General features: G+C 46.2%; 1 long non-coding RNA gene across 2 annotated transcripts in view, besides 1 other annotated feature; it reads left to right on the top strand.

The window, feature by feature from the left end:
* The window catches only part of DANT2 (DXZ4 associated non-coding transcript 2, distal), a 128,716-nt gene that overhangs the window by 15,161 nt on the left and 93,706 nt on the right, over window positions 1-19,849 (top strand). The window contains exon 2 of one of the 2 annotated variants that reach the window (NR_130730.1): window positions 7,495-7,565. The exons of the other annotated variant lie outside the window; for it this stretch is intronic. This is a non-coding gene — a long non-coding RNA (DXZ4 associated non-coding transcript 2, distal). The remainder of the gene's footprint in view (window positions 1-7,494; window positions 7,566-19,849) is intronic. 2 annotated transcript variants of the gene reach the window in all.
* Window positions 12,718-13,231: an enhancer, noted in NCBI's record as "H3K4me1 hESC enhancer chrX:115057053-115057566 (GRCh37/hg19 assembly coordinates)". NCBI's record gives its function as "activates a minimal SCP1, AML or CMV promoter by ChIP-STARR-seq in naive and primed H9 embryonic stem cells {active_cell/tissue: H9 hESC(naive and primed)}" and the evidence as "EXISTENCE:reporter gene assay evidence [ECO:0000049][PMID:30033119]".

Here is a 19,849-nt window from a genome sequence, read left to right as displayed (position 1 = left end):
GCAGGCAAGTCAAACAAATTTCAAAATCCAAAGAAGGAGTTTATGACCTTAAAGTATTTAGCAAACCTAATATTTGAACATAATTTAGACCACATGTTTACATTTTGAAGACATTTGCATTTTACCAATAATCTTTAAAACTGTTTTTTATTACCCAAAGATGAATCAAGTCTCATGAAATAAAAGGTATTCAGGGTCCGTACCCTGAATTTCCTTAATGATAAGTAGCAGATTGAAGGTAGTATATTTCTTCTGTTTCTTCTGTCTTGAGAGCAGTGTTCAATATCACTGTGTTCCTGCAGCACAAGTTAGGCATTTGCCCATGCCTTGACTTCCCTGACAGAGTCATCATAGGGTTTCTGTTACAGAATACATGTGGGGAGTTACATCGGAACACGTGGGTCTTGCGAATTTACTGCTCCCCCATAGCACACATGATTCCTCAACGGAATGCCTGCCTTTATGTGTTTTGCACGTCAAGGTTTCTGGGAAGACCTGTATAGATGTTGATGTAGGCCAGGTGTGAGAACAGGTGTGTTCGGGGAGGCACCTGGCTCCCCTCCTGTCTGACCTAGGCTGGGGTGGGCTCTCTGCCCATTCCCCTGCCGGGGCTACCACGTGAGAAAGGCCAGGGACCCAGTCCCGCTATCCTGGAGTTGTAGGTTCACCTGAAGTTTGAGTCCCAACCCCAGTCTCCCAAGGACAGGGTCCCACAGGTGGGCCAGAGCTGGCCCAAAATGACTGAGATGGTGATCAGCCATTTTTGTAGTGCAGTTGGTATTTTTTCCTCATCAAAGGGTGGAGGGAGTACCGGGGGCAAGGGCAGGTGGGCATTTCTGAAGCAATACTGCCATCAAGAGAAACTTATTTGGCAAACCCACATACCCTTCCCTGTTTTTGCCTGGGGAGGAGTGGCTAGGGCGTGCTGTGGGGGATCAGGCAGGACTAGGGCCGGTGCCTGGATGGATCTGAGCTCTCTGGAGGCCTGACAGAAGCAGGGCCCTTGTCCAGTTGGGGCCATGCAAGTCCCAGAGATAGGCACCAGGAGGAGCTGTAAAACCAGGATGCTGGCGGTTCCCGTACAGGAAGCCATAGCTCAGGAGCCTGGTGACAGCCATGATCTGGGCGGGACTGGCAGAGGCCTTGGCCAGAGAGCCTTAGCTTGAGGCTATGGGCAGTTTGCCTGGCACCCCTTCCCTTGGGAGCAAAGAGGGTGATGGCCTAGCTGGGTTCTCGCCCCAGGAGGCTCCCTCGGCCACACTGCATGCCAGTGAAGAGGGGCCCCTCTCAGAACTGAGTCCTGCAGCCATTGCTAGTCGGCACCAGGGCATTCCTCCTTGCGTCCTAGGGAGGAAGGTGGGCCATGGGAGGGTCCGTAACCACACAGTCCTTGATGAGGTAGATGCGAAGCCAGGCCCGGCCCAGCCACCCTGAGACACCACGCCCCCACCTTGTTGAGACATGTGACCCAGTCTTGCTGTGTCCATGTCCCCGAGGTTGTCTTGGAGCTGGGCCATTCACTATGGTGCTCATTTTTGCATGGGGGCCTTCAGTGGATCCCAGTTGTCTTTGAGGGTTCACAGGACCTGGCCCTGTGATCAGAGGCGCACTGACCAATGGGTTTGGTGGCAAATCTTGTGAAATGGAGACTCTCTGGGCATCAGCTAAGGGAGACCGGGGCCTTCCTAGGCCTGCTGAAGTCTGGGAAGCCAAGAGCACCTAGAAACAAGGACCTGTCGGACAGGCCTGGGGACAGCCTGCTCCGTGCCAGAAGGATCTGCTGCTCAGGCAGCATCCCTGTGCCTCTCCTCAAGTGGGTCTCTGAGGGAGAATCGGGCTAGGCCCAACGTGGTGTGCAGGGATGAGGCTTGATGGACGCCTCTCTTTGCAGGACCCGGTCTGGTACAGCAGTGGACTGGGTCATCTCCTGCGGCTAACTCTCCCTTCCAAGGGTGTTCAGGTGTCTCCCAAGTGAACAGGGGCTCGTGTCCAAAAGGTGGAGACCAGCACCACTTCACAGAATTCAGGAATGGAAAAGGAACCTAGAGGACCCTCTTGAGGTGACAGGTGGAATGTCCTGTTTTTTGGGTTTGTTTTGTTTTGTTTTGTTTTGTTTTGTTTTGTTTTGTTTTGCTTTTTGTGGAAGGACTGAAAGAAGGCATAAGGAGGTGATGGGCTTCTTAGGCCTGAAACGTTGGAAGCACAGGACCAAAGCAGAAAAGGTCGAGAAGGTTCATGGTCCTCCGTTCCACCTGAATCCAGCTAGAGAGTGAGCCAGGTGGATACATGTGCCCCTCCTCGCCCACGTGCAGAAACACTGCCATCCAAACAGACATTCACCTTCCACCTCAAAGCACGTTTAATGTCAGCACGATGACATTCAACTGGGACTTGCCTCACCTTGGCTTGGGGGAAACAGAAAGCACATCCCTGGGGTGGTGTTGCTGGTGGTGGTAGAAGCAGAGGGGGTAGCTGGGGTCTTGATTTCTTGGGCATTTCTCTTGCCGCCTCTCAGCCTATGTGCACGATGTCTCACACGTTCAGTTGCATCTCTTATCGTTTTAAAGGCCCACATTGATGGGAATTCCCGGAGAGTCAAAGAAGCCCAATCACATAGAGACAGAGCAAGAGAGGAAGCGGGCTCCAGTAGAAGTGGGTGAGTGTTGGGGCTGAAGGTGGTGTGCGAGAGAGAGAGTTAGTTAGTTACAGAGAGACCTCTAGAAAGAAAAAGAGACAGAGAAATAAAATAGGTTGTGGAAAATCCCAAAGGGAAGTGCATAGGGGTCAAAGAGTCCAGAAGGGGTCAGGGAGGTAGCAGCTTGAGGTAGTGTGTTCCTTCTGTTTTCTCTGTCTTGACAACAGCGTTCAATGCCACTGTGTTTCTGCAGCGGACGTTAGGCGTTTGCCCACGCCTTGACTGCCCGACGAGGTCAAAATAGGGTTTCTGTCACAGAATATGTGTGGGGAGGAAGATCGGAACACTTGGGTCTTGCCCATCTATGGCTTCCCCATGGCACACATGAGTCCTCAACATCATACATGCTTCTGTGTGTTTTCTACTTCAAGCCTTCTGGGCAGAACCGTCGAGAGGTTGACATAGGTCAGGTGTGAGGAGGACAGGTATGTTTGGGGTGGCCACTGGCTCCCCTCCTGTCTGACGTAGGCTGGTGTGGGCTCTTCCCCCAGCCCCTTGCCGGTGCTGCCACGTGAGAAGGGCCCAGGACCCAGTCCCACTATTCTGGAATTGTAGGTTCACCTGAAGTTTGAGGCCAAACCCCCAGCGGTCAGTGGGACGCCAGTCGCCTTTGACCTCTTGGTCAAGCTGGCCTTGCAGTGACCCATGAGAATGCCCAAGTGCCAATGTGTCCCGGGGGGCAGGGCCAGGGCTGGGATCCTACTGTGTGCCCAGTCTCCTTCTCTTCCCTGTGGGTTCCAGCATCCTCCCATCCTAAGGGTATCGTTAGGGATGCGGTTAGGTTGGGTCCATCCCCAGAGTGGTCCAAGGGGACCGCTTTCTGGTTTGTCATGAAGGCAGGCTAGTAGAAGGATCCCGCCGAGTCCCATCTGCCAAGGACAGGGCCCTGCAGGTGGGCCAGAGCTGGCCTAAAGTGGCCGAGATGGTGATTGGTTGTGTTCGGAGCACGGTTGGTGTTTTTTCCTCTGCAAAGGGTGGAGGGAGTGGACCTGGGGGAAGGGCAGGTGGGCATTTCTGGAGCAATACTGCCATCAAGAGGAACTCGCTTGGCAATCCTGTGCACCCTTCCCTGTACTTGCCTGAGGAGGAGTGGCTTGGGATGCTGTGGGGGACCAGGCAGGACTGTGGCCTTTGCCTGCAGGAATCCGAGCTCCCTGGAGGCCTGAATGAAGTGGGGCTATGGAAGCTTCAGATATAGGTGCCAGTATAAGTTGGCCAGCCAGGATGCCTGGCATTTCTCATACAGGAAGCCATGGCTTGGGAGCCTGGTGGTGGCCATGATATGGGTGGGACTAGCAGCTCAGGACTTTTCACAAAGCCTGTGGCCATTGTTCTTCCTCCCTCTTTGCTGCCTGCAGTACCAAGTCTTACGGTTGCTGCCACCGTAGCAGAGACCTGTCCTCCGTGTTGCAGGTTCTACCTCCCACAAGGAACATGCATTTAGTTGGCTGCCTTTGCAGACTTCTTTTTTACAGATTGACTTTTCCAAGAGTCGGGGACATTTAGGCAATCCGCAAGAGTGGAAGTTACTTTCCTTTAACCCCTGCCTTTTGAAGTCTCCATGTGTGCTTGCTGTGGTCGCTGAGACTCAAAGTTTAGGACCCCCTTCATGTATCTCTCATTTTTGGGTTCAGTTGCCTCCTGTTTTCCAACTGCATTTTGTGTGTGTGTGTGCCCAGCCCCAGTGTTCTTCTTCCCCATTTTGCCCAGATCCACCCACCCCCACCTATCCTCCAAACCCCTGTTAATCAGGCGTGCCTTGCTAGGAAGGAGGTGCATGCTCATTGGCACATAGCCTTTTTCTGTAGTTTCTGCCTCTCTCCAGAGGCCATTTCTGGAAAGCCTGTAGGGTGGGTTGTGCCCTTTCTTAGCTCCTGCCTTCCTGGGGATTTGCTTCCCGGTCAGCACTTTCCCAAAGGTCAAGTAGGACATCTCAAAGCCCAGCAGTTCACCCTTTTTATTTGAAACCTACCAGATGGGTGCTGAAATCCTCTGCTTGCTATGCTTTATTTTTCATGTGTGAATTTTCCTAAGTGTATGTAGGCAGAATATTTGGGGGCCAACCAGCCTTATCTTTGCCAAGCCCTGAGGTCAAATCCAGACCTAGAAAATCTGACGGGTCCGCAGCTTTGAGATTGGTTGTCTGAGCATGCTCCTTCAGCCTTAGTCAATGCAATGGGAAAGCTAAGCCCACGGACCATGCAACCCCATGTGTGTTGATTTAGGTATCTTCCAAGAGGAGCCAAAATGGATGTTACCCCTGGAGACCAGGAAATCAGGCAATCCTGGAATATTCCCAAACTGAAATGAATTCTCAATGTAGAATCAGTTCTACTCACTCTGTAGGATGATGTCCTGCTCAATTGATATATAACCAGTGGGTACTGGCACTCTCTGCACTAGTGAGAAAATGGAAAGAATGGCATCCTGTGGCACGCTTAACCCAGCCTTTCTTTGAGGGGAGAGATAAGAAACCAGAAAAAAAACTTGAAATGCACCACACTTGAATTACTCTTTCTTATCTCATTGTAGTACCCAGCAATCAGGAAATTATTTTCTTTATGGGCTGCACCTGGCAATGTGGCTGTTCTTCCTTCTCTTTTTCTTTGTCTGGGTCCTCCAGATGGGACATTGGTTCTCAGGTTTCCCACATCCCTGAGACCTTCAGGGCAGTTCCCCCTTTATTCCCCTGAACTTACATCTACACCAAGAGCAAAGATCCATAGTCTGAATGCTCTCCAGTATCGCAGGTGTCTAAACATGGCAGCCAATGAGACCTGGCTTCTACCACCTCCCGAGCTTGGCAGGCCTGACAAGCCAGGGTTCCTTAGTGGGTGAGCCTGGCTCCCTTGCTTTCACACTGACTCTGGAGGTACCCAGTCAGGTGCACACATCCAGCCCCAGAATTTTCTGAGTGCCCCAAACCCACCCTTTCTCCTATAAGAAACCTTACCCTCCAGATACATGGAGAAGGGCTGGAATCCATGCTCAAAGAGCTTCCGCTTGATGGCACTGTTGCTCCAGAAATGCCAATCAACCTGGCCTGTCATACCTTACCCTCTACCCTTTGTGGATGAAAAAATGCCAAGGAAGGCCCAAAACTAATCCAATCACTGGAAGTGGGGCTTAATCTGTTGGGAGAAGGGGTTTTCTTCTTCTCAGGCCCTCAGTGAGAAATATGTCTGTGTGCAAACATTCATCAAAAAGAATAGATGTACTTGTTTTTCTACATCATCTCCTTATGAGCTTTAAGTTTGAATTTTTTATAAAGGGGTTCCTAGTTTTCTGAGCACATTTGTGAGTGTTATAAGGATCATCTTGAGTAGATTTTTGTTTGTTTTTATATTTAGAGACACGTCTTGCTATGTTGCCCAGGCTGGTCTCAAATTCCTGGGCTCAACTGATCCTCCCACCTCAGTCTCTCAAAGTGCTGGGATTACAGGATTGAGCCACCACACCAAACTTGGGTAAAATTCTTTCATGGGGGTACTGACTCATAGCTTGAGGTGGAATTAGTACCTAGATTTTCCCTCTTATTATGGAGTCACTGGCTGTCTTCTGTACTGATGGAGCCAGGCCAAGCCCAAGGGAGCCCAGCAAAACAACCTCATCCAGTATACTGGCTCAGGAGGCCCAAGAGGGAGTAGTAAGCCATTGTGGGAGCAGCAGAAATTGGCAGGGGCCATGTAAATTGTGAAGACTGGGGAAATGATGCCTTGGCTTACCTCCAGGGGTCTCAGGTAGGCAGTCCCCCATTGGGTGCTCCAGATTGGGGTTCCGTGGGTCAGAAGGAAGGCCCAGTGGTTCCACACAGGCAGGTGACCATGGTGGGGGCCTTTGGTTCTGCAGCCCCTTCAAGGAAGCTCTACATGAAAGTGTGGGTCTTCTCTCCCTGCAGCACCCCCACATTCACTCATTTGTGCATTCATACATGCATGTATACATGCAAACACACATGCCTCTACTTTCTTCCTTAATTGTGTATCTATGTGTGTTTTCTTCTTTTTCTCTTCCTTTCTCCCATAACCACCTTGGAGATGCCACTGTGGATAGAGATTCCTCCCAATTAAGTGGTAGCCCTTAACACTGCATGATGGACACTCCCAAGTTTCCCCTCTGCCTTCTATTCATCCTCCTGACTCTGCCTACAGTGAGAATTGTGTCATTTTTCCTTGTGTGTATGTTTTTAGTGTCCAGTGTGAATAAAGGCAAATGCAGAGGTATGTCTGCCTTTGACTTTCTCTTTGACACCAAGATGCTTACATGTGATAGACTCTCTTATAATTTGTGGCTTTCACAAAACACCTCCACTGGACTTTGCATCTCTGTGCAGAGTCAACATACTCCCAGATTCTTTTCATTTCCCCTCTGTTATTTTATTTATGCATGATGGAGAAAACACACTTGTGAAGAAATTTATTTCTCCATACCCACACAAGTACACAGACCAAGAAGGAAGCTCTGTGAGGATAGATGCCAAGACATGATGGTTGTGATTCCCCCACAGGAATGAGAGAAGTCAGAGGTATCCTCTGGTTTCATATGGGACTGTTCATGGAAAGCTGCCTCTTTATGACAGCCTCAAATTACATTTGTGGGATTTTTCAATAAATAATTAGGGTTGATTTTAATGTTATACTTTCTTCAGAAATCACGGTTGATCCAAGAGCTGATATCCTAGCCTGAAAGCACTCTCTCAGTTGGCTGGGTGGGTTGAATATATACACTGCCACCTTTTGGCTATCACTTTGACAATCAGCCCAAAATCCAGTGAAGGATAGTTGGCTATCTTGTTGCAGGGCACACAGAGTGAACAGAAAAAGAGGATACCTCTGCGATCCCGGGTCATCTCCAGATGCTAGGGTTATGGGTGAGTGCTCTTTATCCTTCTGAATCCTCTTCCTTATCCTTTTCAAAAAGTCTGTTTTGGCCAGGCGCGGTGGCTCACGCCTGTGGTCCTGGCACTTTGGGAGGCCGAGGCGGGCTGATCCCATGAGGTCAGGAGTTCCGGACCAGCCTGGTCAGCACGGCGAGACCCCATCTCTGCTGGAAATGCAAAAATTGGCTGGGTGTGGTGCCAAGTGCCTGTGGTCCCAGCTGCTTGAGGGGCTGAGGCAGGAGAATCGCTTGAACCCGGGAGGCGGAGGTTGCAGTGAGCTGAGATCGTGCCACTGCGCCCCAGCCTGGGCGACAGAGCAAGACTCTGTCATAAATAAATAAATAAACAAAACAAAACATCATAACATATAGAAAAAATTTTCAAACAATACAAATTGACACTTGACTGATTCCCAGAGAGTGAAGGCAGTGTGGCATAGCAGAAAGAGCGAGGTCTGAAGTCAAATCGTATGGGTTTAAAACTTGGCTTTGCCTGATATGATCTGTAAAGTGTAGGCAAATCTGTTGACTTCTTTGGGTCTCAGTTTATCATCTACAAAATAGGCTTAACAATTATTTTCATGATTGCTGGGAGGACTAGATAGGATGATATATGTGAAAGTTCTTAGTAGGTACAGAAATTATACTAAAAAAGACAAACAAATCCACATGCTATAATGCAGTGTGGACTATCTTTGGTAACCCACATGTCAAAGGTAGTCTTAAACTGCTCTGGTTTGGTAAATGTTGGCGTAAACTAGAAGTCAGAGACTATGGGATCCACCCTTATCTGCTCTCGAGCTTTGGTTTACAATGAGCTCAAGTGTGGGGATTGTGTCAAATGATTCCTGGAATCCCATACATTTGTAAAATTCTATGAATTTGTGAAGTCTGCAAAATGTGAATCTGAGGTGTATGTACTGTAGAGCAACTATTAGACCATTTATCACATTATATATAGATAGACAGATATATCTATATATAATTTTTTTTTTAGGCAGAGTCTTGCTCTGTCACCCAGGCTGGAGTGCGGTCTCGGCTCACTGCAACCTCCGCCTCCTGGCTTCTGGCCGTTCTCCTGCCTTAGCCTCCCAAGTGGCTGGGATTGCAGGCACCTGCCACCATGCCCGGCTCATTTTTGCATTTTTAGTGAAGATGGGGTTTCGCCGTGTTGGTCATTCTGGTCTTGAGCTCCTGACCGCAGGCGGTCCACCCACCTTAGCCTCCCAAGGTGCTGGGATTGCAGGCGTGAGCCACCGCGCCTGGCTATCACATTATATTTTACAGAAGCCATCATCCCATACCTTTGAGTCCAGCCCCAGAAAGAGCGGTCCCTTGCATACCATTCAATATGACCTTGGGCATCCTTTCCCCACTCCCCAGCCATAGCTGTTTGGGCTAGGGTTGGAAACCTGTCCATGGTAGGCCCTTTGGAGTCTCTTGCTGGCCACTTGGGATTACAATGGAGACAGTCAAGTTAACAGACAGTAATGCTGGACCTGGACAGTTGCCAGCACGTGTTGGAGGCTGAGAGCACCATCCAGTGTAAGCCATGGTGGATGGTGTAGTAGGAGAGCAAAGGAAGGCAATCTGCAAATGGGTTGGATGGGGAGGGGGAGAAAAGGTGGGAGAAAGAGAGAAATATAAAATGAGGGAAGCAGAGGAAGAGATAACATGGCAATGAAGAAAGTAACATCTTTGGTCATTTTCTGTTCCAATCACCCACAGCAGGCCTGTCGGTTCTCTTTTACCTAAGTAGATTTTAGTGGCTTTTCTATTCTTGATCTCCAACCATGCCCTAAGACATACGGCAATGGTAACACAGACTGAGGATTCTCTGATGGCAGGGCTTTGTCTCATTCCTTTTTGCAACAAGCACAAAGTAGATGCTCAATGAATTTATACTGAAATGACATGAAAATCATGTTTGTGTATGAAGTGTCACTGATGGCATTTATATGAAAAAGGTTAATTAAAATAATTATGTTTTTAAAAAAGTCTGTTTTATCCTATGAAATGGGCAGTGGTTCTGGGATTTCAGCCCATCTACAGAAGACACTGCTGAGGCATGTAGATAACTGGCATGGGGCAATGGTGCCCTATTCTGTAGCTTTCCACCATGCTTAGTAGGAAAGACTTTTTGAATGAGGTCCTGATAGTGAGGCCCAAAGTAGGAAGTGCATGGATGAGCACCTAGGCAAGATGTGTTTCCTTCAGGGGATTGGGATCATTTCTTGGAACTTGAGGTCAGTGTCCTGTAGTGTAGGGGAGAGGGGAAATGGGTTGGGACTGGGACTCTGGGAGGCTGGCCATCTGCCAGTTATGGGATCTTTGGGCTCCCAGAGTTACTTTTAAGAAGTGGTCCTGGCCTCACTTAAGAAGAGAAAGTCTGTTGGAGACCCAGGGAAGACAGACAGGTCTTTTGGGCCTTCACCTTATTGGTGTTGAGTACAGCTCTGCCTTCTTGTCCTGCCCATTATCTCCCAATCCCTCTTGGGCCCAACTCACTGCACAATGGCCCTCCTGACTGGTGAGGACATGGAGTGCACTCTGCCTTAACTGTTAGAGGGTGATTGGGCTAAAAGGGGTGGGAGGCCACACTCACGCAGCCTGGTGCCAATCGCTCAATGTCCCTTATGTCTGTCTCTTGACATACTGAGGAGAAATGTGGGGGAATGTGTCTTGAAGAGGTGTTATTCCACACAAGCCATCAGAAGTACACCTACCACAAGCCTGCTTGTAAGAATTGTCCTGCCATTGATCCTGGCATGGACATCACATATGAGGAGGATGGGTATCTCTAGTTTGGCTCCTGTCTCCCCTCCTCACTGACCCAAGCGTGCAACCTTCCTTGTCTGGAGACCATTCCTCATCTGGAGGGTACGGCCATGTGAAAGGAGCGGGGTCCTCAGGCCACATTGTCTTGTGATGGCAGTTTTTCCTCACTGTTCACCCCAGTTCTGGTGCCGCTGCGCCACCATTTTGTGGGTATTGCATCCTGAGACCTCTGGGTCAAGCTGACCTTTTAGTGGCTTATGTCAATGTCCAAGTCAAAATGTTACTTGGTAAGCAGAGTTTAAGTCTGGCTCCAACTCTCTGCCCAGACTCAAGATATTTTCCTGTGGTCTCAGCCAGCTCCAGTGCTAAAGATTCAGCCATGGCTTTTAGGTATGATCATAAGGTAATGATTAGAGCCATTTCTCCTTGTCAAGAGGAAAGTTTGAGACCACCCTACTGGGATGAAGCCCTGCAAGATGGAGGACCAGCAATGAGAACTGGGAGCCCCAAGGATTCAGCCAGGATAAACACTGGCTGGCTTTTTCTTCAGTAGCAAATGGCAGAGGGATGGAATATTGGGGAGGAAAGAGGGGAAGGAATGCTGGCATTTCTGGCATAATAGTGCCATCTAGAAGAACTTGTTTGACAATCCCATGAACCCTTGCTCATGATTGTCTGAGGAGTGGCTTGGGAGTGAAGTGGGGTTTCAGGAGGGAACAGAGCTATCTGGATGCATGGGAGAAGTGTGGCCAATGGCCATTTGGGGCTGTCAAGCTTCAGAGACAAGCACCAGGTCAAGACCCCCAGAGCACCTGGTGGGACCTGTACTGGAAGCCCTGGCTCATGATTCTGTTGGTAGCCATGTCTGGATAGGGCTAGCATAAATCTCTGCAAAGGATCCCCACCCTGAGGTTACAGCCATTTTACCACCTGCCCCTTTACTGGCTGCAGTGCCTGCTCCTGAGAGTGCCATACTTCTGGCAGAAGCCTGTTTTTAGTGCTGTGTGTCCCACACCAAAGAGAGCTAGTGCCTAGATCCCTGCCTTTGCAGAGTTCTTCTTGGCCACCTTCCTTCAAAGTCCCAGGAGCCTCAGGGCAATGAGCAGGAATTGGCCTTGCTTCCCATTCACCCCTGGCTCTCCCAAGTCTGAACCTGTGTTTATCCAGGTAGCTGGGAATCAAGAAGGGCCAGGAGTCCATGCCAGAATCTAACCACTGTAGGGTTCTGTCATCATCCTTCCTTTCTCCATGCCCATTTCTCTCTGTGCATCCAGCCCTAGCCTCCTCCCCATTTCCCTCAGATCTACTTCTCATCAAGCAGTCCTGCCGAGCCAAGAACGAGGTACATACTCCTGGGTACATGGCCTATTTTATACACTCCATCTTCCTAATGGCCTACTCCTGGAAAACATCGTGGTTAAGTTGTGCTTTTGCCAGCTCTTAACTGACTGAGGCTATGCTCCCTGGTCAGTGCTTGCCCACAGGCCTGGTAGGAAGACTCAAGGCCCAGATCTCCACCTTTTTTTTTTCTTTCACCTCCCAAATGGGTGCCAAAAACTGCTCTAGTCCTTTCTCAGTTTCATACTTGTGAGTTTCCTAAAGTGTTGCCCAGTGGTCTTATGTGGGCAGAGCCTTTTAGGGTCAATCAACCTTCTTTTTTCCAAGCCTCAGGGCAAGACCTGGACCTACAGGATCTGATTGATCCTAAGCTCAAGGCTGTGAGTGTGATGCTCTGAGAGTGTTCCTTAGGTTTGAGCCAATGCTGTAAGACAAGCAGATACACAGAACATAGATCTTCATGTTTGAACCCAGGTTTCTTCCACGAGGAGAGGAACCAGATCATACTAAGGAACTAGAGCCTAACAAACAGTGCACTTCCGGATTGTTCTTGAGCTGAAGTACAGCACAATACAGACCTAGGTCCTCTGACACCAGAGCTCAATGTTGGTATCAACTTGATCCCCAATGAGTGTCAGCACTCTCTGCCCCATGGGACAAAATGTGTGCAATGGCACGCTGTGAGACCTTTGACCCAGACTTTCTTTGACAGGAGCAAAAATTAACCAGACAAAGTTTGAAGTGCAATGTACTTCAACTACTCTTTCTTGTATCATTGTAGTACCCCCCAAATCAGGAAATTTTCTATCCTTTTTATGAGCTACACCTAGCAATGTGGCTACTGCCACCTCCCCTTTATTTGGCTGGCCCTGGGACCTCCAGGGCAGTGCCTCCTTTCTTCGCTTGAAGTTACATCTTCACCAAGAGCAAAGATCCACAGTCAAAATGCCCTGTGGTAGCTCCAGGTTCCCAAACATGGCTGCCACTAAGGCCTGGCCTCTGCCGCCTCCCGAGCCTGGCAGGCCTGGCAGCCCAGGGTTTCTTGGTGGGCAAGCTCGGCTCCCTCGCTTTTGCACTGAATCTGGAGGCACCCAGTCAGGTGCCCACATCCAGTCCCAGAATTCCCTGAGTGCCCCAAACCTACCCTTTGTTCTATTAGAAACCTTCCCCTCTGGATACACTGCGAAGGGCTGGAAGCCATGCTCAAAAAGCTTCCTCTTGATGGCACTGTTGTTCCAGAAATGCCAACCGCCCCGTCCTACCAGGCCTCTCCCTCCACCCTTTGTGGATGAAAAAACACCAGGGAAGGCCCACAACCAGTATAAGCCTTAGAAGCAGAGTTTATTCTGCTATAGTGCTACAAGGCAGGGCTGAGTGTACCTTTCTCTGGGGCTCTTGGTTTTAATATAAATGTCTGTGTGTAAGTGTTCATCAAAAAGAACAGATGTATCCATGTATCTGTTGCTGTTAATACATCATCCCTTTATGAGCGTTAAGTCTAAATATCATGTAAATGTGTCAGTGGCTTCTGGGCACACTTGTGGGTTTATATAGGATATCTTAGGTAGAATTCTTGCTCTTATGGGGACATTGACTCATAGCTTGAGGTGGGCTGAGTACCTGGATTTCCCTTCTTATCTTGGAGTTGTTGCTTCTCTTCTGTCCTCATGGAGCCAGGGCAATCTTACCCAAGGCAGTCCAGCAGCCTCTTGTAGCTTAAGATGTCAGCAGCAGGCCCTAGAGGGAATGGCAGGCTATTGCGGGGCCTGCAGGAATTGACAGGTGCTATATCAGGTGAGAAGACTTTTTCAAAGTGAAAATAAAAATCTAGAGATGAATATCTAAATTTAACATTTTATTACAGGAGGAAAAATTGCAGTTTGGTGCATACATACAGATTCGGTGGCCTTTAGTATTTCTGAAGAAGAAAGAGGAGGTTGCAGGTTTTATAAAAGGAGAAATGTCACATACAGTTTTTCTAGAAAGTTCATTGGTACTAGTAACGTATTGTGGAGCTAGCAGTCTCTGATGGGTGAGTGATAGTCTTGGGTAAAAGTGGTCTTAGAGTTTTGAGCAGGTTGTTTCAGTAGCTGTTAGATAAAAGTGTTTTCAGGATATAACAGGCAGTTTTATCATCCAGGCTGGTAGAGAATTACATTCTTAGAGCAATGTAATAATGCCCTGAGTGCTTCTTCCCCCTGAACTCTTGACTGTTTTAGTTTTATATTGTAAGAATGACCCAATGTGTGTGATCAACTTTCACACGCCCCTCTTTGATCAAGATCCTTCTATGAATGCATGACTGATCAACCATTGTGAAGTTAGGCTTAATTGTCTCTCGGTGCTGGGATGGAGCTGTCCTGTTGTCTTCCTCATTGAGGGTAAGTCATAGGGGTGTATATCAGTGACCTGGGTCATATTGGAGTAACAAGGAGGCCAGAAGGAAAAATTTTCTCATGGTAGGTTCATCTGGAGTCCAGCATCAAGTTTCATCTTACAGTTCCATAGTCATCAGCAGTCACCTTGAAACAATGGGCTAATTTTATCCCCTTCAGAGAGCTGGCTTTACAAAGATTAGACAGGTAATAAGAGCAACACTTAAAAATCATAATACAAAAATAAAAAACAATATAATAAAATTAGTTTGCACAATGGTTTTGCTCTAAGAGCACAAACTTAAGGGCAACAACTAAACAAATCAAAAGACCATAGAGGAAACTAGGTGAGACCTGTTATAGCCACTGAGTAGCATTTTCTGACTTGGTAAAATTAAAACAGAGAATGCCAATTTTACAAAAGGAACCACCATTATAATTTGAACAAAATTTTTAAAGTTGCCCACTAGGTGAACTAAAAGGATTTCTTTGGTCAGGTTTTGTCAAGTTATCTATAGCAGTTACTGGTTGCTAAAAAAAAGTAATTATGTCAACTTCCTGCCAAGTGAAAAAAAAATATCATTAAGGGAAGTAAGACTTTCATTATGATATGTCATTCTGATGTCTTAGGAAAGGTCGTTTATGGCATGAAAAATGTCAACTTCTTGTCCTGGTTTACAGTTTGAATGTCTCTGGCTTTGGTGTCAGGGAGTTTGGTGACCTTTCTGTGTGGTTCATATATCAGGCACAAGATTTGTTCCTTAAAATTTATCTAGTTTTAGCTTACAGGCCTTAGAAACGAAGTAGTTCCTGCCTTAGGAGTTTTATGGAAAAAAGTTGGATTGGAGGAACCTAGAATAATTTAGGACCACGTGTAGTGTATAAGTAGATAATAAGAGCTTGAAAACAATGTGCAGAGTTAAAATCTAATAACAGGTGTAGTATAGCTCTTTTTTAGAAACAACCTTTTCTTTCTACATTGATCATATAGGAAATCTCAGATTTTAAAACCTCATGAGGCTAGAAAGCAAAACCAAGACCAACTTTAGATTTTATTATAATCTTAGGATTCCTGGACCTGCTGGGAAGTGACAGTTTTTATTTACTCACTATAAGGCTGGGAACCCTTAAGTCAGGCATTTTATGCATATTTTCAAATATGTCATTTCAGTCAAAGCCTTGGTAATAACCATGCTTTTAAATTGTATTCTGCTATAAAGAAGACAGATTTTTATTGGGCTTATGCAAATAATCATATTACCATAAGAATACTAACAAATACTTTCTGAATTCTGGAGGAATCAAGGAGAAAAATCCAAATGATTTTCCTTTTTTTCTTTTTTCTTTTACAAAAGTATATCTTACCAAATTGCTATAAATGATAGCTCAAGAGAGAAAATGTTCCTAAATCTGAAAAACAAAACATTAAGAACCACATGTATCAAGTAAAAAATCATAAAAACATTGTCTTCATTAGTTATTCAGTCTCATATAATCAACATTTGTTCTCTTTGATCTCCACTAGTAGTTTTCTGAATCCATCAGTTTATTAGAGTTCTGGAAGTTTTCATTTAGTCCATTGATATTAAAGTTATCAGAAACCTGTATTTAAGAGTTCTTGTGGGCCAGGCATGGTGGTTCACACCTGTAATCCCAGCACTTTGGGAGCCCAAGGCAGGTGGATCACCTGAGTTCAGAAGTTCAAGACCAGCCTCATCTTGAACTAAAAAACCCCATCTCTACTAAACCCCGTCTCTACTAAAAATACAAAAAAAAAAAAAAAAATTTCCTGGGCATTGTGGCAGACGCCTGTAATCCCACCTACTTGGGAGGCTGAGGCAGGAGAATCACTGGAACCCAAAAGGCGGAGGTTCCAGTGAGCCGAGATTGCGCCATTGCACTCCAGCCTGGGCAACAAGAGCAAAACTCCATCTGAAAAAAAAAAAGAGTACTTGTTGGAGTTTTTTCCATTAATTTGATATTTAATTTTATTAATTAGTTTATTTCAGCTCTGTCATCCAGGCTGGAGTGCAGTGACAGGATCACAGCTCACTGCAGCCTCCAACTCCTGGGCTCAAGTGATCTTCCTGCATCACCCTCCCAAGTAATCAGGACTAGAGGCAAGTACCACCATAGCCAGCTAATTATTTTTTTGCTTTTTGTAGAGACAAGGTCTCGTGATGGTTCCCAGGCTGGCCTTGAACCCCTGAGCTCAAGCAATCCTCTCGTCTCAGCCTCCCAAAATGATAACTTTTCAAGTGTGAGCCACCATGACCATCCCTTGTTCATGAATTTGATTGTAAATGTTTTTACAGAATAATTCAAAATGATAACTGTGGATTCTAAAAACTTGGAATGGCCGTGGTTAAAAATCTGATGAAAGGTTGTAATTGATGAGAAAATTTAGTTAGTTCTATTACATATAGCATTTTTAGGTAACAACTAGAATTATGATTGATAACATATTTCTATGAATTTATATAATTTTTGAAACATTTGCATTAATAGTACATTTATAAATGCAACTAAGAGAAGATCTAATATTGCTTATCCTTCAACAACATTTCTTACACAATTTTCCAAATAAGCTTAATCATTTAATGTCTCTACAAAATGAAAAAAATATCTTTTGTTGCTTTCCAGGGGTCTGAATGGAAAATCCTAAAGTTAATTCTAGGTCAACAAGACTTAATTAAGGATTTGATCTTGAGTAAGTTTGTCAAAGATGTTAAAGCGCTCAAAGCATTTGATCAAAACAGAATTGCAGGCCACTATAAAATAATACTCATTTAACCAAAGTGATCATCAAAAGACTTCAGATGCAACACAGAGAGTTACACGGATATAAAAACCTTAATCCTTTTAAAGCTCAATTATCCTCAGTAATCAAAAACCTAATAAAGTCAACACAGCAAATTTTCTTGATAAAACAAAAAGCCTTTGATTCTTAGGCCAACTAACAAAAAGCCAAAGTAAAACCATCAGCCCTGTGACTTTTTCTTCTTAATGGAAGCTCATTTAGATGAACTGGAAGTTGAACCTGATGAATTTAATTAGACACAAGGATAATGTTTCCAAGGTTATGAGTGGAATAATTCAGGTAAATCAAAAAAGCCAAGAATACAGAGTCAAATTTTACGGGAGGGAAAGTGCTTTTTTAGGCCTGCAAGGTAAACATTTTAGTGTTAGGCCATAACAGCAGGTTAGAACTAGAGAAAAAAGAGGGGCTGACAAAAAAGTTGAAGGAGAGTTTTCATAACAGGCATTCTCAAGGGGATAAAAAGGTGAATGTCATGATGTGTGACCTGCAAATCACGTGCAGTGAGGTACAGCAAAAGTTGTACCTCTGAGGTATAAATCTGAGAAATTTGAAAAGTAAAACTTTACCTTAACAAATGAAATTAGGGGGCAAAGCAAGATGGTGGAATAAAAGGCTCCACCTATCATTTTCCTCTCCCAAGGACATAAATTTAACAACTATGGACACACAAAGAATAACACCGTGACAAGAATAAAAAAATCAGGTGAGCACTAACAATACCTGGTTTTACCTTTCTGTCACTGAAAGAAGCACTGAAGAGATAGAAAAAAAGTATTGAAGTGCTAATGTCACCCCTCCCTCACACCCTGGCAGCAGCAGCATGGTGCTGAGAGAGTTTCCGTGTTCTGGGGGAAGGGAGAGCATGGCAGTTGTGAGGTGTTGAACTCAGTGCTGTCAAGTTAGAGCAGAAAGGAAAGCCAGTCCAAACTCATCTGATGCCTGCCATAGTGGGAGTATTTAAACCAGACCTAGCCAGAAGGGAATCACCGCTTGAGTTCCTCTAAACCTCACTACCACGTTCTAAAGTGCTCAGAGACTCTAAATGAACTCGAAAGGTAGGCTAGGCCACAATGATTTCAACCTTTAGATGAGTTCTAATGCTGAAATGGGCCCAGAGACAGTGGACTGGTGGGGCACATAACCTACTGAAACATCAGCTGGGGTGGCTAAGAAAGTGTGGGCATTACCTCTCCCCTAACCCCAAGCTACATAGCTCACAGCTCCAAAAGAGACCCCTTCCTTCTGCTTGATGAGAGAGGAGGGAAGAGCGAAGAGGACTTTTTATTGCATGTTGAATACCAGCTCAGCCACAGCAGGATAGGACACTGGTCAGAATCCCGAGGCCCCCATTCCAGGCCCTACCTCCCAGGTAACGTTTCTAGACACAACCCAGGCCAGAAAGGAACTTGCTGCCTTGAAGGGAAGGACCCAGTCCTCGCAGCATTTATTACCTACTAACCGAAGAGCCCTAGACCCTGAATAGCAAGCAGAGATATCCAGGTACTACTTTGAAGGACTTCAGTGGGACTCTGAGACTTACTGGCTTCAAACATGTCTCAGCACATTTCCAACTGTAGTGGCTACAGGGCGAGACTTCTTCTGCTTAAGAGCAGAGGAAAGAGTAAAGGGGACTTTGTCTTGAACCTTAGGAACCAGGTCAACCACAGGGGGCTGTACCAAGTGGGCTCTTGGAGTACACAATTCCAGGACTTGCCTCTTCAATGGTATTCCTGGACCTCTCCTGGGCCAAAGGGAAGCCCACTGCCCTGAAAGGTGAGTCCCAAGTCAGGCAGCATTCATCACAAACAGACATAGGAGCCCTTGGACCTAAAGGGAACATTGACAGTGGTCTGGCAATACTCCCCATGGGCCTGTGATGGTGATGACCACAGAGTGAGGCTTCTTTACATTTGGAAAGGGGAGGGGAGACTGGAACGACTGCATTTTGTGCCCTCACTGACAGCTCAGCCACAATACAATAGAACACCAGCAAGACTTCTAAGGTTTTGGACTCTTCTTCCTGACTCCAAGATGGCACTCTTGGACCCACATGGGGCCTGGGAGCACTCACTGCTCTGAAGGGAAGGGTGCAGGCCTAACTTTCCACCTGCTGATTTTAGAGTCCCAGGGCCTTGAGTAAATATAGGCAGTAGCCAGGGAGTGGTTACTGCAGGCGTTGGAAAACATGCAGTGCTGTGCTGGCTTCAGGTCTGACCCAACACAGTCATAGTGGTGGTGGCCACAGGGGTGCTTATATTATTGCATCCCCAGTTTCAAGTCGCTCAGAACAGAGAGAGATACTATATTTATTTGAAAGAACATAAAAAAGAGAACAAGAATTATCTGCCTGGGAATCCAGAGAAATCTCCCAGATGTTGTCCAAGACCATCAAGGTAGTACGTCTACGAATCTGCAAGAACCACAGTGTTACTGGGCTCATGGTTCCTCATAAAGCAGATACAGCTTAGATGACAACACCCAAGTCCTCTCAAATATCTGGGAAGCCTTCACAAGAAGGATAGGTACAAACAAGCCCAGACTGTGAAGACTAACATAAATACCTAACTCCTCAATGCCCAGACACAGACAAACATCTACAAGTATAAAAGACAGTCCATGGAAACATGACCTCACCAAATGAACTAAATAAGGCACCAGGGAACAATCCTGGAGAAACCGAGATATGTGATCTTTCAGACAGAATTCAAAAAAGCTCTTTTGAGGAAACTGAAAGAAATTCAGGATAACACAGAGCAGGAATTCAGAATTCTATTAGATAAATTTGATAAATTGAAATAGTTAAAAAGAATCAAGCAGAAATTTGGGAGCTGAAAAATACAATTGGCATATTGAAGAATGCATCAGTGTCTTTTACTAGCAGAATTGATCAAGCAGAAGAAAGAAATAGTGAGCAAGCTATTGAAAATAGGGCAGGCAGTTTGAAAGTACGTAGAGGAGACAAAA

The sequence above is a fragment of the Homo sapiens genome, chromosome X, assembly GCF_000001405.40.
Source record: "Homo sapiens chromosome X, GRCh38.p14 Primary Assembly".
Lineage (NCBI taxonomy): Eukaryota > Metazoa > Chordata > Mammalia > Primates > Hominidae > Homo > Homo sapiens.
The sequence above is the reverse complement of the archived record's forward strand: the minus strand, read 5'-3'. Positions and strand labels throughout refer to the sequence as shown.